The sequence below is a fragment of the Homo sapiens genome, chromosome 2, assembly GCF_000001405.40.
Source record: "Homo sapiens chromosome 2, GRCh38.p14 Primary Assembly".
NCBI lineage: Eukaryota > Metazoa > Chordata > Mammalia > Primates > Hominidae > Homo > Homo sapiens.
The window spans coordinates 121,275,871-121,296,933 of record NC_000002.12 but is presented as its reverse complement, the minus strand read 5'-3'; the positions used below and the strand labels follow the sequence as shown (position 1 = coordinate 121,296,933).

General features: G+C 50.4%; 1 protein-coding gene across 6 annotated transcripts in view, besides 1 other annotated feature; it reads left to right on the top strand.

Annotated features, from left to right (window-relative positions):
* Window positions 11,567-11,706: a silencer, noted in NCBI's record as "silent region_11920". NCBI's record gives its function as "represses an Ori minimal core promoter by ATAC-STARR-seq in GM12878 lymphoblastoid cells {active_cell/tissue: GM12878}" and the evidence as "EXISTENCE:reporter gene assay evidence [ECO:0000049][PMID:35858748]".
* The window catches only part of TFCP2L1 (transcription factor CP2 like 1), a 68,616-nt gene continuing 59,284 nt past the window's right edge, over window positions 11,732-21,063 (top strand). For 4 of the 6 annotated variants that reach the window (XM_017003902.2, NM_014553.3, XM_017003905.2 and 1 more), the window contains exons 1-2: window positions 11,732-11,886; window positions 15,663-15,814. In XM_017003902.2, the coding sequence (XP_016859391.1) occupies window positions 11,825-11,886; window positions 15,663-15,814 (214 nt within the window). In that variant the 5' untranslated portion in view covers window positions 11,732-11,824. Of the gene's footprint in view, window positions 11,887-13,289; window positions 14,040-15,662; window positions 15,815-21,063 lie in introns of those variants that run through there. The other 2 variants (XM_047444020.1, XM_047444021.1) reach the window with 2 other exon arrangements.

Sequence of the window (21,063 nt, the reverse complement as noted above, 5' to 3'; positions counted from 1 at the left end):
CTCATTTCTTGGCAAGCTTTGTCCTCTCTTCTCTCTTTGATGGCAGTGGCAGCCCATCTGGAGAAGCCGCTGTGGGGACACCAGCTGCAGCAGGGGTGGTGCAGGTGGGGCTATGCTCTCTCCAGAGCTGGTGGGGCAGGAACAGGTGGGAGGCCTGCCCCCTACTGAGTTGGCAGGGTGGGACCCCTGTACTCCCAGGCATGGATGCAGCCACCCAGCCACAGCTTCAAACCGGGGCATCCCTGTACTCTCAGGGGCCTGAGAATCTCCTGGCCCCCACAGGCTCAGAAGTGCCTGCTCCTGCTCTCAGGCCTCTTCTCACTCCCGGGGCCTGCTGTGATTCTGGAGCAAAGTTGTGGCTGTGCCCAGGTGCTGTTGCAACCCAGCTGGCTGTGCACATGCTTGGCACAGAGCTGACACACCAGCCCCCTCCTCACCTCAGCCCCCTCCAGACCTTGGGCACTGACGAGCATGGGAGGGAGGCCAGGGGCCTGAGGGCAGCTCAGCAAGGGCCTGCAGTTGCCCCTTAGTGTGAACAGCCTGGGCACCGTGGATGACATGTTGATGACAGCAGGAAGCAGACAGGTTCCTAGGTGGGAAGGATGGGTCCTTGGTGAAACTCCACCTACAGGCCAGGGATGGCCTGAAGCCTGGGGGCAAGGCTGCCAGTTCTGGAGGAAGTCCACAGCACAGAGTGAGAACTTCATTGATGACCATTTGGCCAACTGGATGGTGCTTTTTCCAGGCCTGCCCATGGTTGACCATGGACCAATCAGCATGCACTTCGTCCATTCTGAGCGCATAAAAACCCCAGACTCAGCCAGACTCACACACAGGTGGGGATGACCTGCCTGCGGAAAGGAGCTACCCACTTTGGGTCTCCTGAGAGCTGTTCTGTTGTTCAGTGACGCTCCTCTCTGCCTTGCTAACCCTCCAGTTGTCTGCATACCTCATTCTTCCTAGATGCAGTACAAGAACTTGCAATCCAATGAATACTGGGACTGAAAGAGTTGTAGAACAAACAAGACTGAAGCATGTCCCCTGCTCACCACATTATGGGCAACAAGAAGGAGAGAAGAGCTGTGGCCCTTCTGGGAGCCCAGACCTCAGGGCTCCCCAAACCAGGACTGTGACAGGCTCTAACACCCTCTTTGGGGCTCTGCAGTTCCCAGTGTCTCCGAGCTTTCAGGTGCCATTACATTCCCCCTGTCCAGATGCTGGTGCCCGCAGCAGAAGCCACTTGTGGTATGTCTAGTCCACCCTCAGCCTGGCATGGACCCAGCGCCTGGAGATGCCCTCCCTGCCACAGTTGGTGCCCCTGGCTGTGAGCAGTGGCCGGACCCCACACTCGCTTGCTCACACACCCCTCAACACTCCCACCTGCAGGTGTGGGATCCCACCCTTAGCAGGTGTGGGATCCAGGCTGGTAGTGCAAGCCGAATGCAGCCTGCCAGGCTGAGTGGGAGGAATGAGCCCAGCAGGTGCAAGCAAAACCCAAGCAGAGGTGCCACCAGCCACAGAGGTCTCTGGCTGGTGAAGCAACACCCTAAGGATCCTGTGACATCTTAAGCCTGGACTTGTGGGGCTGTGAGGTTGTACTGAACCAACATCTACAGAGCTTAGAGTGAAGGAGAGGAGCACCTGGCCTACTCTTCTGGGCGGGTAGGGAAGGCTTCCTGGAGGAGGTGATGCTGAGCTGAACCTCATGAAAGTCAGTTAGGCAAACTAGGGCCAGGGAGGAGGACACTGAGGAGCAAGTGCTCTAGGAAGTGGGAACAGTAGAGAGGCAAAGAGCTGAGGTGTAAAAAGTACAGAAACTTAACAGCCTGTGTGGCCCCAGGTGGGTACAGACATGGGCACTCAGATGAATGAGCAGGTGGTACTTTTGGTGATTTTCCTCTAGGTGGTGCAGCCCCATGCCAGGTACATGGCTTGGTGAGAGGAGCACGGGCTGAACTTCGGGTCTCCTAGCCCCCACCTTGGCTAGTGCTTCTTGCAGAGCACAAACTCTGCAACCATATGCTGGAGAGCTGCTGCAGTGCATAGTGTGTGTGCTATTCATGAGGGCTGGCCCAAAGGACACAGTGACCATCCATTGCCTTCCTGAGCTAGAGCTCAGGGATGGCCAATGCCAACACTAAGAGATTCCTTTTTAAATTTTTTTTTTTTTTGGTAGAGACAGGTCTCACTATGTTGCCTAGGATGGTCTTGAACTCCTGGCCTCAAGAGATCCTCCTGCCCCAGCCTCCTAAAGCACTGAGGTTACAGGTGTGAGCCACTGTGTTTGGCCCCAATACCCAATAGATTCTTTTTTTTTTTTTTCCTTGAGACAGGGTCTCACTCTGTCACCCAGGCTAGAGTGCAGTGGTGTGATCTCAGCTCACCACAACCTCCACCTCCTGGTTCTAGCGATTCTCGTGCCTCAGGCTCCCGAGTAGCTGGGAGTACAGGTGTGCACCACCATGCCCAGCTAATTTTTTTGTATTTTTAGTAGAGACAGGGTTTTGCCATGTGGACCAGACTGGTCTCAAACTCCTGGCCTCAAGTGATCCAACCCACCTCAGCCTCCCAAAGTGCTGGGATTACAGGAATGAGCCACCGCACCCGGCTCCTGACAGATTCTTAATGTCTTCTCTCTGTGTGCAGTCTCTAGTTCCTCCCATTTGATTCTGGTCCCCAACACCCCATGACTGCATTTGTGTTTTGGTCTCTATCTCTTATGGTAGAGCCCCTTTTCACGTGTTGAGCAATCCACGATTACCTGCTCATATTGGGAGCTGCCCTGGTAGCTCAGAGTGTATGGGAGGGGCTGTTGACACATTGTCACTATAGGGTGATCTGGCTGTGCTCTTTCGCTGGGGAGCCCCCAGTGTGTCGAATTCTTCAAGAAAATTCTTCCAACTTCTTGTCTGACCTGTCCTTTCAGCTTGGTACAGCAGATGGGGCCTGGGTTTTCAAGCCGGACCACCCTGGGCCCTGTCCTGGCTCTACCGTCCTCCAGCTGTGCAAGTTTGGACAAGTTGTTGAATCTCAGGGGCTCGGTGTTCTCATCAGTGAAGTGGGTGTGATGACATCTACCTCCCTAGGATGTTGAGAGTTAAGCGGGCTAATGAATGGGGAGCACTTGTGTTTTCTCCCTCCTTGGCCTCAGCCGTGCCCCCAGCCAGGGGCTTTGTGTAGTCTCACTCACTGCTTTCCTCCATGTCTCTGGAGCCGCAGTCCCTGGGTTAGAGCTGCTCCCCGTGGCCCCCTGCAGAGACTGGCACCTGTAACAGGGCGTTTTGCAGAAGGAGGTGTGAAGCAGATAACAGGGTGTTTGTTTGGCCCTAGAGGGAGGGCACTGTGCCAAAGTGCATGTGGCCAACTCCACCCAGGGCAATTCGCTGTGACTACTGAGCAGGGAGCAGGGCAGCCCTTGTCAGAATGAGAATACTTGACTGCTGCTGGAAGGACTGATGGGAGCAATCTAGGCCGGAGAGGGAGGAGGAGGAGAGTCAGAGCAGGGTCTTTGCATTGGAGGGACTGGGGTTCAAGGCAGAAGGATTGCTTGAGGCCAGGAGTCAAGACCAGCTTGGGCAATACAGTGAGACCCCCTGATAGGGCTTGGATCTATGTGCCCACCAAATCTCATGTCAAATCGTAATTTCCCGCTCCCCAGTGCTGGAAGTGGGTGGAGTTCTCAGGAACGGGTTAGTACCATCCCCTTGGTGCTACTCTCGTGATAGTGAGTGAATGAGTTATCACGAGATCTGGTTGTTTAAAAGTGTGTAGCAATTTCCCCCTCTCTTTTCTCTTCCTCCTCCTCTGGCCATGTGAAACGTCTCACTCCCCCTTTGCCTTCCAGGATTGGAAGTTTCCTGAGGCCTCAGTGGACGCCAAGAAGAAGATGTTATGCTTCCTGTACAGCCTGCAGAACCATGAGCCAATTAAACCTCTTTTCTTTATAAATTACCTAATCTCAGGTATTTCTTTATAGCAATGCGAGAATGGACTAATACACCCCATCTTTTTTGAAAAAAAAAAATATATACACACACAAACATATGGCCAGGTGTAGTGGTTCATGCCCATAATCCCAGCACTTTGGGAGGCTGAGGCAGGAGATCACTTGACTCCAGTAGTTTGAGACCAGCCTGCACAACATAGTGAAACACCATCTGTAAAAAATAAACAAAATTAGCTAGGTGTGGTGGTATGCGCCTGTAGTTTCAGCTGCTTGGGAGGCTGAGGTGTAGGGATTGCTTGAGTCGGGGAATTTGAGGGGGCAGTGAGCAAGCTCACACCACTGTACTTCACAATCCAGCATGCGCTCTCTCTCTGTCTCTCTTTCTCTCTCTCTATTTTGTCATGCACCAAATAGCCCAGGTTGGATGGGAGCTATCTATCTATCTATGTATCTATCTATCTATCTATCTATCTATCTATCTATCTATCTATCTCCCACCCAGTCTAGGAGGAGTTGCTATACCCCTGAGTAGGTGGGGGTGTGTGTGTATATATACATATATATCTCATATGTAGGCCAGGCACGGTGGCTCATGCCTATAATCCTAGCACTTTGGAAGGCCAAGGCAGGTGGATCACCTGAGCACCGGAGGTCAGGAGTTCGAGACCAGCCTGGCCAACATGGTGAAACTCCGTCTCTACTAAAAATACAAAAATTAGCCAGGTGAGTTGACAGGCACCTGTAATCCCAGCTACTTGGGAGGCTGAGGCAGGAGAATCACTTGAAGCCGGGAGGCGGTGGTTGCAGTGAGCCAAGATCGTATGACTGCACTCATGCCTGGGCGACAGAGTGAGATTCCATCTCAAAAAAAAAAAAAAAACAACATATATATATATATATATATATATATAGAGAGAGAGAGAGAGAGAGAGAGAGAGAGAGAGAGAGAGAGAGAGACAGAGAGAGAGAGAGAGAGACAGAGTATGCCCCTACCCAGTCTCTGCCCTGCCCCCATTTTGTCATGCACCAAATAGCCCAGACTATATACCCCCACCCAGTAGTAGCCCCACACAAAGGCTAGTTGGTGCATGACAAAATGACTAATGTCAATGATGCAGGTGAGTTTTGCTTTAGGAAAACCAAACCACACTTGCCCAAATTTTAAGTTGACCATTTGAATTCCGAAGAAAGATTTGTAAAATAAATTTTTGTATTTTGGCATAATTCTAGATTTAGAGAAAAGTTAGCAATATAATAAACAGAATTCTCATATCCCCTTCCCCAAGTTTCCCCCTCTGTTAACATCTCATGTGACCATGTACATTTGCTAAAGCGTAGAAACTGAGCTTGGGGTGATCCTCTGAAGGCCACGTGGGACTTTATCTGAATTTGAAGAAACATCTTGGAAAAGTCATTCTCCTCTCTTGAGAAGCTAGGATCAGACATGAAGATGAACCACATCTGAGATGACAATATGGGCCATTGGAAAATAGGGTTCAAGGATACAAATGTGATGGAGCCAAGTTTGCAGGACAGCAAGGTATGAAGAGACGGTCAGTAGTCGGGAGGCCTCAGTTCCTGCCTGGGTCTGTCATTCACTCTGTGTCTTGGCAAGTCCCCTCACCAAAGTGCCTCGGTTTCTTCATCTGTAAAATGGGAATAACATTCCACGCCTGGTGCCCCTGGCAGAGTATGGCCGGTACTAGTTTCCCCCTCAAATCCATTCTCCCATCTTCCTCAGTAAGAACCTCTGCTTTTTGGCTGGGCACATGCCACTCCAATAAGGACTACATTCCCCAGCCTCCCTCCCGTATAGCAAGGGGGAGGCCAGGTGACTATGTGCTAGTCAATAGGAAAAAAGCAGAAGTGGTGTGTCCATCTTCCTCAGAGAGAGGTATGCCCTTTTCTCCCATTCCTTCAGCCTGTGGCTGGCAGGAATACTGTCATAGTGGCTGGAGCTCCAGCAGCCATTTCAGACTGTGCCACGACCCGGCAAATGGAAGGTTCACCTGGCAAACAAACATGGCATCAGAAGGCTTCCCTTCCATTGTACAACCTATTACCTTTAGACCAGGGTTTCCTAACCTGAGTCCTACTGACATTGTGGGCTGGATAATTCTTTGTTGTGGGGGCTGTTCTATGCATTATAGGATGTTCAACAGCATCCCCGGCCTCCACCCACCATACACCAATAGCACTCCCACCCACCAGATTGCCATTGTCCTCTGGGGGCAAAACAACCTCTGGTTGAGAAACCGCTGCTCTGGGACAAATTGCATCCAATAAGAATATAATGCAAGCGGCTGGGCACAGTGGCTCGTGCCTGTCATCCCAGCACTTTGGGAGGCCGAGGCGGGCGGATCACCTGAGGTCAGGAGTTTGAGATCAGCCTGGCCAACATGGCGAAACCCCATCTCTACTAAAAATACAAAAAATAATTAGTCGGGTACGGTGGTGGGCACCTGTAATCCTAGCTACTCAGGAAGCTGAGGCAGGAGAATCGCTTGAAACCGGGAGGTGGAGGTTGCAGTGAGCCAAGATTGTGCCATTATATTCCAGCCTGGGCGATAAGAGAGAAACTCTGTCAAAAAAAAAAAAAAAAAAGAAAGAATATAATGCAAGCCACAAATACCAGCCATGTATGTAAATGTTTAAAAAGTAAAAATACGCCAGGCGCGGTGGCTCACGCCTGTAATCCCAGCACTTTTAGAAGCCGAGGCCAGTGGATCACCTGAGGTCAGGAGTTCAAGACCAGCCTGGCCAACATGGTGAAACCCCAACTCTATTAAAAATACAAAAATTAGCCGGGTGTGGTGGCAGGGCACCTGTAATCCCAGCTACTCGGGAGGCTAAGGCAAGGAGAATTGCTTGAACCCAGGAGGCGGAGGTAGTGGTGAGCCGAGATCGCGCCATTGCACTCCAGCCTGGGCGACAGAGCAAGACGCTGTCTCAGAAAAAAAAAAAAGTAAAAATAAATGTAAAATTAATTTTCATAATAATATTGTATCTAACCAAATACATTCAAATTGTTATTTATTATATGATCTGTATAAGAATTACTGAGGGGCTAGGTTACATTCCTTTTTTATATACAGGTTTTACATTTCCAGCACACCTCGATGCAGACCAGCCAGATCTCAAGTGCTCAACAGCCGTATGTGCCAAGAGGGTACCTTAGCGGGTGACATGAACTCTAGACTTCTGGAACTTGAGGGAGAAATAAGCCTCTATCTCTTCTAAGCCACTTCATTTTGGGGTTTCTGTTACTTGCAGAGAATGTAATCCTTACCAGCACACAGGGCTTTTGATGAACCACATGCTGTTGAACACTCAAGAAGAAATTAAAGCGAGACTGCTGACCCAGGGCTGAAAAGCAAAGTGCCTTAGAGAAGCCAGGCAAGCCTGCCCTGCACGCTCCATCACTGTCTTAATGCTCCCAACGGCTCCATCAGGGAGGCATCATCATCTTCATTCCATAAACAAAGATTCTGAGCTTGGAGAGCGTGGTGGGTGCTGTCATGTCCAGCCAAAGTGTCCCTCTCCAGCTGCGGCACTCAAGCCCCTGCTGCAGGGAGCCTTGGCAGGTGATAACACTGACAGGTCCCTCTCCAGGACTCAGCTGAGCTGCTTTGCCCAAAGTGATGTCCCTTCCCCAGGGCAACCACATCTGTCCATGACTGGTCAAGGTGGTATAGAAAGGCTTGAACCCCTGCCCAAATTCTGGACAACTTGGAGCACCAGCCTGGCCCTGAGCTCATATAGGATCCACTGAGGCCTCACAGCTTAACTCTGTCCTCTGCTCACTGCTTCCCTCGTTCAGCGCTGCTGATCCCAAGATAAACTGTGATAAACATGTGTGCACACGCTTTCCCTCTGGCTCAATTCCGCCCTCTACGTTGGCCATCCTTCAACTCCTATTCATGCCTCAAAACCATCTTCTCAGACGTGAATCCCCAGTATTCATCGTGATCTCTTTCGAGAGCAGCTGGGAATCCCTTGTGGGGCTGCTAAGGGGGTGACACCTGAGTACTCAGTGGGCCCCTTTCTGCTGCCTCTGCAGGGACCCCGGGCTGATCCTGGGAGCAGAGGACATCTGGTCACAGCACCTTTGCCCAGTGTGGGGTGAAGAAAGGAATGCCGGGCCTTAAGACAGGAATGGATGAGAGTCGGAGTATGGTTGTTGAATTTACAGGCCTGGCCTCAAATCCCAGCTGTGGCAGTCAGCCTCCCAAGCCTGTTTCTTCAATCAGAAGGTCAGGTGATGTCTCTTCTTCTCAGTGTCGGGAGATGACAGTGCATGGCTCTGGGTCTGGTGCATAGTAAAAATCAATGTTCCCACCACATGGGAACTGTGAACATTCACAGAATAAAAGAGGAACTGGCAGGCCATCTCCTGCACATCTGTCTCCTCCTCCTCAGCAGCCTGGAAGCCCCAGGGGTCCAGACTAGGCCTAATTGGGCCCTGTAACACCCAAGAGTCATGGGCAGAAATATGCATTTTTGTTCACACAGTGTGACTCAAATGCTGTCTCTGTAGGCATTGCTGAATTCTACCCTCCCATAGTTAAAAACCTACAAAGAGAGAGAAAGTAGGCAATGACCCAAAATACAGAGAGTCATACTTAGGTCATGAGAGCCATCATCCCTGAGAAGCTAAACTCACCTGAACCTAAGCTTCACCACAACCATGAAATGAGCCCTTATTATTCCCAATAGCAAAACCCAGATCCACAGGGCCCAGCGTATCATTTTTCCATTTGTATGAAACAAACCAGCCCACACCTCAGTGGCGTAAGGCCACAGCCATCCATTTGCTCTCGAGCCTGCATTTTGGGCAGGGCTTGGGTGGGCAGGGCTTGCCTCAGTTCTATGAGGTGTGGTTGGAGGCAATCCCCTGGGGCATCTTAGATGGGCTCTGCGGAGTGGCCAGAGGGATTGGAGGCTGACCAGGTCTCCCTCTCCAATGGGGCATTTGGACTCTACCTGGTGGCTCAGAGCTCTGGGAGAGTTAAGAGAAGCTGCCTATCATGCTTGTAATCCCAGCACTTTGGGAGGCTGAGGTGGGTGGATCACCTGAAGGTCAGGAGTTCTAGACCAGCCTGGCCAACATGGTGAAACCCCGTCTCTAATTGAAATATAAAAAATTAGCTGGGTGTGGTGGCAGGCACCTGTAATCCCAGCTACTCAGGAGGCAGAGGCAGGAATATCGCTTGAACCCAGGAGGCAGAGCTTGCGGTGAGCTGAGATCCTGCCATTGCACTCCAGTCTGGGCAACAAGAAACTTCGTCTCAAAAAAAAAAAAAAAAAAAAGAGAAGCTGCCTAGGGGCCAGCCCAGAAGGGAAAAGCATTACTTCCTCTGCATTCTATGGTTAAAGTAAGTCACAGGGTCAGCCCAGGCGGAAGGGGGAGGGGAGGGAAACAGACACCACCTCTTGATGGGAGAAGCAGCATGAGGTCAATTTACTCCACCCAAGGTCATAGATTCAGATGGAGCTAAGTAGTAAACCCAGGTCTGAACCATCTAATAATATTGACTGCCCTTCCTCCAGGCCTTTGCAGGAGCGTCTACTGGGCCGGAAACCTCCCTCCATCTCCACAGATTGGTTTCACTTCCACTCACCCATCCATCAGGAGATATCACTTCATGCTGGAGCCTCTTCGGAGCTCCAGAGTCCTCCTCTGTGTTCCCAGGGCAGCCTCTACGTCCCTGACCACACTGTACTGTCACTGCTGCTTACCCATGGACCTCTCCTGTTAGAACTCAAGGACGAGTCCAGCAAAGGACATGTTCTTTCCAGACCACCCCAGAGTGTCTCCCATTTAAACAATGGGTTTGTCATGGACCCTGATGGGGTGAGGTTGGTTGTGGGGGTCGGTGTTCAGGATGTTTCTTTGGAAGTTCCCTTAAGAGTAACCCCTGGGCAAGGAACTGGAAGGAAGCAGGAGGGAGACCCTGAGCAGGACACAGGTCTTGTGACAGCTTTGACTGTCTTCATGGGGAGTCCTGGGGCTAAAATACCCCATCAGCACTGTCCCCAGTCAGGCAGAGATGGCCAAGCTTTTATACTTCTGCTGGGATAGTCATTGGGATGTGGGCTATCCCAGGAGGGACATGACAGAGGGCAAGGCTGCTCTCTGAGCAGGGGCAGTTCCTGGAGAAGCCGATGGCTGGGGGACTGTCTGCTGACAGCACCACCTGAAGCCGGGGAAATATTCCCATTCTCCTAACAGGGCAGAACAGTGGGGGGCAGTCCTTGAGGGCTGCACAGAGGAAGTGGTTTGCCAGTTGTGACCTATGGCTGGAGGGAGGAGGGCAGGAACAGCAGAGTGAGGGAGGGTTTTACCCACATCCATGCGTGGGGGAGTGGGGAGTTCTGGACCAGGTCCCCAAGGGATGTCATTTGACTGGATTAATACTCAGGGACAGAATCCCCATCTCCTCTGTGCCAGGTGCTGTGCCATGTACTGGAGAACCGGATAGCACCTGGATAGGGGTCAGGGCTCCAGGGAACTCCACTCCCTCCTAATGGCCCTCCCCTCCACCCCATGACCCACTGTCTACACTGCTGCCAGACTGATCTTTCCAAAAGGCAAATCATACATGTGACTCCTCTGCTTAAAACACAGAATAAAATCCTAGCTCCTTGTCCTGGCCTGCCAGGCCCTCTGATCTTCCCCGCCCTCCTCACCTCATCTCCTAAGCTCTCCTCAAGACCAGCCATGCCAAGTAGGTCTTCCTCAAGGCTTTGGCAGTCACTGTTGCCAAGGGGGTAGGGAACTATGCCTGGAACTATTTTTCCCTAGGTGATGTTCACAGAGATGCTTCCTTTGCATCCATCAGGTCTCAGCTCAATGTCACCTCCTCCAGGAAGGCTTCTCTGATTACTCTTTTGGTGCATTCCTTTTTTCTTTTTTTATGTTTACTCAACAAACATTTATCTTAACTATGTCCCATGCACTGTTCTAGGCAGTGCAGGTAACGGGGTGTTAAGCGAGCCAGGCCCTGTCCTCTTGGAGCTTACAGTCTAATGGGAAAGACAATCAGTACACAAGTAAAAATAAAAAATAAAAAAATGTCGGCCTGACTCGGGGGCTCACGCCTGTAATGCCAGCACTTTGGGAGGCCAAGGTGGGCGGATCACCTGAGGTCAGGAGTTCGAGACCAGCCTGGCCAACATGGCGAAACCCCGTCTCTACTAACAATAAAAAAATCAGTCAGGCGTGATGGGGGGCGCTTGTAATCCCAGCTACTCAGGAGGCTGAGGTAGGAGAATTGCTTGAACCTGGGAGGAGAGGTTGCAGTGAGCCCCGAGATCGCGCCACTGCACTCCAGCCTGGGTGGCAGAGCGAGACCCCGTCTCAAAAAAAAAAAAACCAACAAAAAAACCCCCATGATTTCAGAGCGTCTGAAGTGCTATGAAAAAACAAGAGCGAGGAAAGGCGACAGAGAGGGCCTAGGCTGGAAATCTCGGAGCCGCTCTGGAGACCGGCCCTGGGCGTAGAGTGGGGAGCAGAGGCCAGAGGGGCCGTGTGGAGCGGGTTGGGGGCGGCAAGGGTCACCTGAGCCCCACATCGGAGTTTGGGGAGAGCACCCGGCCGGCCCTAGAGCCCTCTGGTCTGGCCGCCCCGGAGGCGCGCTCGCTCGCCGGAAAGGCACGCGCGGGAGTCAGCCAGGTGCGGCTGCCGCGGGGAGCCGCCCTCCGGGCCGCGCTTCCTGGGGGGCGGGTCTCACCGCTGTCCCGCCCCTGGGCCGCCGATAAATGCGCCGAGCCGGCCGGCACCGCGGGTTCGGAGCGCGAAGCCGCCGCTGGGTCCTCGGCGCGCCCCGCGTCTGCGCTTGCTGCCGCGCCCCGGTCGGCGCGCTGGGAGTTCCAGCCATGCTCTTCTGGCACACGCAGCCCGAGCACTACAACCAGCACAACTCCGGCAGCTACCTGCGGTAAGGGCCGCGCGCGGTCCCCGCGGGTCTCGGGCCGGGCCGGCGGGCCGGGCGCCGTTGGACGTCCAGGGGCGGAGAGGGGGCGCCCCTGCTGGGCCCTGGCCTCCCCGCTGTCCGCCCTCTGGGGACTGAGAGACCCGCCCAGCGTCCCGCCTAGGGACTGACAGATGGACGCCGGCGGGACCCGACGTGCGGAGTTGGGGGCCCGCTGGGGAGGCGAGCGCGCAGAGCCCTATGTCTGCGAGGGCTCCTCCCAGGCGGCAGAGAGGGTGCAGGGCGCGCACCTGCCGGCCCGCCGCCTCCCCTGGCCCGTCCGCCCCCTGCGGCCCTCCTCTCCCCCGCGTATCGGAGAAGCAGAGGAAACTTCCTGCCAGCAGCCTGGTGCCCGGCCCGGGGAAGTTCGTCCCCTGCTCTTTGCCCGTCTCCGCCGGGGCCCCTCTCCCAGCCTCGCGCCCTCTGCAGTGCCCTTCCTTGGACGAGGGGCGGGCGGCGGGCTCGGAGGGGCAGGCCGCCCCACTTCCCGCGATGGTCTTGCGCGTGTTCGCCCGAGGCCCGCGTGGTTATTGCCCTTGATGGAAATCTTTCTTCTGCTGGAGGGATTTGAGTAGTGCCCTTCAGAGGGGAAAGTAAGTCCTGCGTGTTTTGCACAGTTCCCCACAGGCCCCTCTTAGCAGTAGGACCCCGTGTGCTCTCGCTCCCGGAGGATTGTTTTTCCCTGTTCTGCTGCTGGCCGGGACTAATGGGCAGTCATTTCACTTTGTGAACTCGCCTGAACCAGCTTTAGCCTGTCCTTATTTCCATCTTAGTCACAGTTTATGAAATGTGCCTAATTTAACCCAAAGGGCATTTGATATGGGCTCAAGGAAAATGAATGATGAGGCCGAAGGAGTCACAGGCATTGACAGCCCCCATACTAGAGCTACCTTTAAGTGCTAGTTTTGGCCCCAAGAAGTTCCCACTTAGATCTTAAAACGTTATTTGTAATTCCTGGCTGCTGGTAGGTATTTGTCCTCCCTGAAGACATCCCCTTTTCCTGGAGGCGGGGGAATGATTGGGTTTAGTGGATGTATCTGCTGTTTTTATTCATGGGCCAAAGTAGTCGGAGATGGCAAAGGTCTAGAGCCTTAAAGGCTGACAGCCACCCGGCAGACCACGGTGATGTCACCAGAGGGAAGCCCAGGAGGAGATGTTAATCACCCAGAGATTAAGTGTCCATTCACTTGCAAGAAATGCTACAATGGAATACATTTTTACTGTACTGAAGTTTTAGTTGTAGCTTTGGCTAAGTTTTAGTTTGCTGCCATTAAGTATGTTGCCATATCTTAACAATGAGTTTGAAGGTGACCCTGAGTTGAAGGTGAGTGTACTTGAAACTTCCTAGATACCTACAATGTCCTCACCCCGTTAGGGAACAATTCTCCCTTGCCTGGGAGGTACAGTTCTGACATCTGCTACCGAGATGGAAGTTTGTCTGGAGTAGCTCAGGTACCTTTTAGGATTTGGTGAAAGGAGGAGGGTGAGCGTTGGGAGTGGGTGGTGCTGTAAAGCCATATTGGCTTCTGGGGTCATCGGGGGACCATGGATAAAGAAGTCCTTGCCCTTTTTTATTTCACTTCTTGGAAGCTGGGAGTTTTGCCCTCAGTGAGGGCCAAGGTGGCGGTTTGTGCATATGCCCCTGGTCCCCTGACTCTAGAGGGAGGGTCTGGTCCTTTTCCTTGCGTTTTTTGTATTTTATTTTTGGTCGTCTCCTCACTTGGCAGAACTTCTGCAAGCTGTCTGACCTCACCAGGGTAGAGGCCTTTACTCCCTTCCCCCTTTCTGTTTGATGTTCTCGTGACTTTTATTCCTTGGCAAATAAAGATGCCAGGCTTGAAACAAGTTACTGTTGAGGGATGGTTCTTAACTTCCTCTGCCCACCCGCCCCTGTTTAAAAAATTTAAAGGCAGCAGTCCGTGGATTATTAACTTGACATGGTCTGGGCAAACATGAAATTATGCAATCCTCAGTGTTCCTAGAGAACCACCCGGGCTGGGAGTGTGCCCTGCTCTGACAAAAGGAAGACGCCCTGTGGGGGAAAGTCGAGACGGCCTTGCACCCTTATTTTTCGGCAGTGGATGGTGACGGGGGAGGCCCACACAGGGCAGGTTTTCCAGGTGTGTGCTCAATGCCAGGCTTTTTCTTCTCAAAATTGATGAGATGTTGATGGGGTGTGTGCCGGGTTTGTGTTGTAGAGACGCTTGTTTATGATGTGCGAGGAACAGATTGTACCAGTGACTCTGTTTATACAGACAAGTGGGGTCAGCTAATTGGATTCCTAGTCAGGGACCCACGAAGGGAAGAGGGTTATCAAGATAAGAGCACTGGCACTTATTTGGCACTTGTTTATGTGCTGCTCATAATTTAGAGACCTTACACAAGCCTTGCCTGCCTGTAGGTCATTCATGTTCTCAAGGAATTCTTTGTCCCTTGTAAGGGCATTTTTAAAATGCTGGGTTTTTTGTTTCTTTCTTTTTCCTTTTTTTTTTTTTTAGAGATGGTGGGGTCTCACTATGGTGCCCAGGCTGATCTCAAACCCCTGGCTTCAAGCAGTCTTCTCACCTCAGCCTCCCAAAGTACTGGGATTTCAGGCATGAGCCACTGTTCCTGGCTTAAAAAATACGTCCAGAAACAAGTTCCTCCCTAAGTCGCAGGATGATGACTTCATTTTTTTTTTTTTTTTTTTTTTTTTAATGTGGAGAGTTTTGTTAAGAGGTGGAGGAAAAGAAACTTGGAGCAAGGATTTCAAGATTTCCCACTTGGATAAGAAAATAGACTGGGCTGGGCGCGGTGGCTCACACCTGTAATCCCAGCACTTTGGGAGGCCGAGGAGGGTGGATCACCTGAGGTCAGGAGTTAGTGACCAGCCTGACCAACATGGTGGAACCCTGTCTCTACTAAAAATACAAAAATTAGCCAGGTGTGGTGGCTCATTCCTATAATCCCAGCTACTCAGGAAGCTGAGGCACAAGAATTGCTTGAACCCGGGAGGTGGAGGTTGTAGTGAGCCGAGATCACGCCACTTGCACTCCAGCCTGGACAACAAGAGTGAAACTCCGTCCCCCCCGCCCCCGCCCAAAAAAAACAACCACACAAACACAGACTTGAAGCCAAGGTCCTTCCTTCCTGTTTGCCTTTTGGACAGATTAGAATGACCCTGAAAACAGTGTCCAGTTGTCCTCTCTTTAGAAGGGATGGAGGAATGTCTCAACCTGGGTACTCAGGGAGGGAAGGAAGTGGTTTGTTCATTTGCATAGTTTACAGAGCCTGGAGGACAGAGTTGTATTGCTATGAGAAGTGGCCGGTAAATGGAATTGTTGATTAAAAAATAAAAATGTTTGTTTAGATTTTTATTCTAAAAGTGAAACTTTATGAGTGATCGCTTGTGGATAGAAACCAAATAAATGTCTTAGAGGTCCCTTTGCTGCTAGCCTGTCTCTGGCATGGAGAGGATTTCTGTAGATGTTAGCTAACTTTGCCCTTTTACCTCCTTGATGGGCTGATTGAATCAGTGTTTTGGGGGGTCATTGAGTGAAACTAGAGTCACGAAGGAGCGGTTTCCTCTGTTTTAAAGCATCTGGAGTATTCGAGGGTTGCAGGAGTGCAGCCAGCACCCTGCGATGCGCGTGCCGTGTCACCCTGGGCCCCGGTGGTCTGCGTCGTCTCTCTAGCTTCGCCCTGGCTCTGTGCAGGAGCCCCCTGGGGCTCTGCTCCTGACCTCTGCTTCCCGTGTGTTGCAGTGATGTGCTCGCTCTGCCCATCTTCAAGCAGGAGGAACCCCAGCTGTCCCCCGAGAACGAGGCCCGCCTGCCACCCCTGCAATATGTGTTGTGTGCTGCCACGTCCCCAGCCGTGAAGCTGCATGAAGAGACGCTGACCTACCTCAACCAAGGTAGTGGCCAGAGGCCCCGGGCCAGGGCGGAACCCAGAAGTAGTGGGGAGCTGATGCGAAAGGCCCATTTGGGCCTTGTGACTTTGTTACGGTGGGTGAGGTCGGGCGAGGTCGGGCTCGGGAAAGAGAACAGGTGCAGGTTCAGATTCCATTTTCCAGCTGTGTGACCCCCTCCAGCCTCAGTGTCTTCATCTGAAAAATGGAAACATCAGATACCTCACGCGGGTAACAGGGTAACACTCTGCATTCCTCCTATAGCCCCTCCATGGAGCAGATGCTAGCATTATTTCTGTTTTTCCCTCCCTCCCTCCCTCCCTTCCTTCTTTCTTTCTTTCTTTTTTTTTTTTTTTCCTTTTTTGAGGGGGTCTTGTTCTGTTGCCCAGGCTGGCATGCAGTGGCATGATCATGGCTCACTGCACCCTTGACCTCCTCAACCCAAGAAGTGACCCTCCCACCTTAACCTCCCAAGTAGCTGGGATCACAGGTGTAGACCGCCATGCCCGGCTAATTTTTAAATTTTTTGTAGAGCTGGGGGGGTCTCACTATGTTGCCCAGGCTGGTCTCAAACTCCTGGGCTCAAGTGATCCACCTGCCTGCGCCTCCCAAAGTGCTGGGATTATAGGCCTAAGCCACTGTGCCTGGACACATGGTGATTATTTATTGTGACCATGATTGTGTCCTTTGAAGACATACACTGAGTACCGTCAGCATCCCAGGTCCTGGAGCTGCACCTGGCAGTGATGGGATGGCTGGCCTGTGTCCTGCGCAGCACCGGAGCAGGGTTCCATCCATGCTAGACAAAAGTCCTCTGTGGTGATGGGGACAAGTTCCCTCACCATGTCCTGAGGGAAACAGGCTTTGGAGTTTGAATTCCAACTCTGGCACTTCCTAGCTCTGTGACTTGGAGCTGCCTTTTTTTTTTTTCTCTGAACCTCAGTGTTTTCATGTGTAAAACAAGAAGTATAATTTTGTGGAGTTTAAAAGAATGAAGGTCTGTGAGGTGCCTGGTATGATAGTGGTTGTTCAGTTGCTGGTTCCCTTTTCCAGAACACGTGGGCAAGTGTCCTGATGGATGGTGTTTTTGTGGTTCTATCATGATTATGAGTATGCGTTTTTTGCACTTTCTTCTGGGTCGTCTCATGACCACCCTGGCATCATGTGGATTTGTCACCTTCTGCTTTATCTTTTATTGTTTGTGTGCCCCAGACATGAAACAGTTCTGGCCACCCACCCAGGCATCCAGCAAGGATGAGCAAAGGACTGTGTGTCTGCTCTACCCCTGACTGGTATGATACCCCTCTACTTTCAATGGGCAGAGCAGACGGGCAGAGGAACGCTGGTTTCTGTGGGGTCACAGGGAATTGCAGGGGAGCTGCGGTGTCGTAGCAATTTGTCTTACATGTGTAGCTTCCTCTCCGCGAACTTTGATTCCTCAATTTGGAGAGCCAGCCAGGGTGGAAGTCCAACTTGGTCATCAGGCTCTCTGCTTACTGCTGAATTTGCCAGCTTCTGGGCCAAGAAACTAGCTCAGAAGTAGCAGCTGGCTCTGTCTGCCTCCCTCTGGGTAGAAGCAACCCCCTCTCATTGTGGAGGGGCCGCAGTGGAAGGTGATGCTTTATCCCCAAGGGCAGCTCTGCTGGCCTCAGTTGTTCTTGCTCAGCCGAGCTCCCTCAGCTTTAGAGCTTCCTGCTCAGGCCCGGAGACCTGTGCACCATCTGCAGCGGACGGTGGCCATGGTTGGTGGGTGATGTGGCCAAGTGTGCATCTGTGCCGCTGTGTGGAATGGTTTTTGCCATTTGCCTTTCACTTTCATGGAAGGTCAAGTGCTACCAACTGGTTATGCACCTTTGAGCACTTTCTTTCCTCTTTGGGCCTCTGCTTTTTTGCTTAAATTTAGCAGGCAAAAATGAGATGTTTATAGCATCCATTGAGCTTTGATGTGGTTCTTCTTGTTGGCTAAGTCCTGTGGTGCTGAAGAGTGGGTCCAAGGTCTGAGGTCTTGCTCCTAGACCAAGATATTGTGTGTCTGTCCCTGCCCTGGCCCCTGCTCCTGTTGGTAAGGCCATTAGCTGAGTTCCTTACCTTTCCTCTACCCCTTCCAACTCCTTTTTTTTTTGAGACAGAGTCTTGCTCTGTCTCCCAGGCTGGAGTGCAATGACACGATCTCGGTTCACTGCAACCTCTGCCTCCTGGGTTCAAGCAATTCTCCTGCCTCAGCCTCCTAAGTAGCTGGTTTTTCAGGCGTGTGCTACCACACCCAGCTAATTTTTGTATTTTTAGTAGAGATGGTGTTTCTCCATGTTGGCCAGGCTGGTCTTGAACTCCTGGCCTCAAGTGATCCACCTACCTTGGGCTTCCAAAGTGCTGGGATTACAGGTGTGAGCCACCAGGCCTGGCCACCCCCTAGGTGTTTTTTTTTTTTTCTTTCTTCTTTTTGAGACAGTCTTGCTCTGTCACCCAGGCTGGAGTGCAGTGGTGCAGGCTCGGCTCACTGCAACCTCTGCCTCCTGGGTTCAAGCGATTGTCCTGCTTCAGCCTCCCAAGTAGCTGGGATTACAGTCATGTGCCACCACGCCCACCTAATTTTTGTATTTTTAGTAGAGACGGGGTTTCACCATGTTGGCCAGGCTGGTCTCAAACTCCTGATCTCAGGTGATCCACCTGCCTCAGCCTCCCAAAGTGCTGGGATTACAGGCGTGAGCCACTGTGCCCAGCCTACTAGGTTTTTTTAAAAAGAGTTTTAAAAGTTGATCCTCTCATAGATCAGTTAAAAGAGAGAAAAAGGGCCGGGCGCAGTGGCTCACGCCTGTAATCCCAGCACTTTGGGAGGCCGAGGCGGGTGGATCATGAGGTCAGGAGATCGAGACCATCCTGGCTAACAAGGTGAAACCCCGTCTCTACTAAAAATACAAAAAATTAGCCGGGCGCGGTGGCGGGCGCCTGTAGTCCCAGCTACTCGGGAGGCTGAGGCAGGAGAATGGCGTGAACCCGGGAAGCGGAGCTTGCAGTGAGCCGAGATTGCGCCACTGCAGTCCGCAGTCCGACCTGGGCGACAGAGCGAGACTCCGTCTCAAAAAAAAAAAAAAAAAAGAGAGAAAAAGGAGTTACCTCTATGGTCTCATCATCTCATGTTAATTTGGTATATTTATATTTTTAAAATTATATTTTGTAGGTTATTAAAATAATCTACTTTATAGAAAGTTTGAATAATTTAGAAAAGCAAAAGGAAGACAATTAAAACAAAATTAAAATCCCCTCCGATTTCACCAGAAACCACTGCTAACCTTATTTCTACATGTTTGTATATATATCTTTCTGTGATTATGTTACAGACATATATCCTTTTTTTCATTTACTATATTTGTCAGCCGTCTCATGTCATTGAAAATGATTTGAGGACTTGCATTTCTGTTAATGGCTGCATAGTATTACATTGTATATTTCTATGACTTTAACTGTTTCATATTATGGCCACTTAGTTTCCAGTTAGAAATTAAATACTATTATGATGAACAACATCCTTGCATATAAATCTTCCTGTGAAATGTTGATTATTTATGTATTTTAAAAATAAATACCTAAGAAGTAGAATTTCTGGATCAAAGGATTTGAACATTGAGGCTTTTGATGCATATCACCAAATTGCTTTCTCAGAAGAATGCACCAATTTACGTGCCAGCCAGCAGTATACATTTTGTCTCTTTTCCAATATTGGTTATTGTTTTTTGTCATCTGATTAGTGAAACATGGAATTTAATCCTAAACTAACATTTCTTTTCTTTTTTGAGCTGGGGTCTGGCTTGGGTTGCCCAGGCTGGACCCAAATTTCTGAGCTCAAGTGATCCTCCCTCCTCAGCTTCCTGAGTAGCTGTGACTATAGGTGTGTACCACCACCCCTGGCCTTAAATTAGCATTTCTGTGATTGTTAATGCAGTTGGATATTTTAAAATACATTTATTGATCTTTTTAATTTGTTTATTATATTCCTGTCCTTTGCACGTTTTTGTTGGGGTGTTTATGTTTTATGGATAAGGGCATACTATTTATGAAGAATACCAACCTTTTAGCTCCCATTTTTTGCAAGTATTTTTCTCTGATGGTTGCAGGCCATTTAACTTTCGTTGGGTGATAACTATATTTATGGTGTAAGGTATATGTTGTGATTTTTTTTTTTTTCTGTAGAGATCTATTTTAAATGTCTATGGTCAAATCAAATCTTTCATTCTTTGAAATAAACTTTTCTTTTATGCTTAAAAGAAAATGGCTGCTCATCTCAAAATCAATTAGCTGAGTAGTTTTCTGAATTTCATTTAGAGGTGTCTAAATTTTAACACTTACTGAAATGCATTTGGAATTTATGATGTGATATGAAGATCTGAGTTTGTTTATTTTCTAGTTATTGCCTGACTTTTCCTACCTTTATCTCACAAATTTAGAAAGTCAATTCTGAAACTTTTTTTGTTGGCTTTCTTTTTTTTTTTTTTTCTGAGACAGGGTCTTGCTCCATCACCCCGACTGGAGTGCAGTAGCTCCATCTCAGCTCACTGCAGCCTCTGCCTCGCGGGCTCAGGGGATCCTCCTACCTCAGCCTCCTGAGTAGCTGGGACTACAGTTGTGCGCCACCACACCCGGCTAATTTTTGTAATTTTGGTAGAGATGGGGTTTTGTCATGTTTCCCAAGCTGCTCTTGAACTCCTGGGTTCAAGCAGTCCTTCCACCTCGGCCTCTCAAAATGCTGGGACACTTGTGAAACATTAAAAAACCCATCATTCTCAGCAAACTAACACAGGAACAGAAAACCAAACTCCGCATATTCTCACTCATAAGTGGGAGTTGAACAATGAGAATATATGGGCACAGGGAGGGGAGATCACACACTGGGGCCTGTCGGGGGGTGGGGGACAAGGGGAGGGATAGCATTAGGATAAATACCTAACGTAGGTTACGGGTTGATGGGTGCAGCAAACCACCATGGCACATGTATACCTATGTCACAAACCTGCACGTTCTGCACATGTATCTCAGAACTTAAGTATAACTTAAAAACAAACCATATCCTAAATTGTAAGGCAAGCAATATACAGACTTGTCCTGTGCTGCTGATGTTCTTGCCGAATTCCTCATTGAACTAATTTTTGTAGCTTAGAAATATGTTTTCCTTTGTCAGAGAGGTTCCTCTCAGTATTCTTTTTAGCCGTTCCCAATAATTTATTCTTACAGAGGGTTATAACCGTTAAGACTTCCTTCTC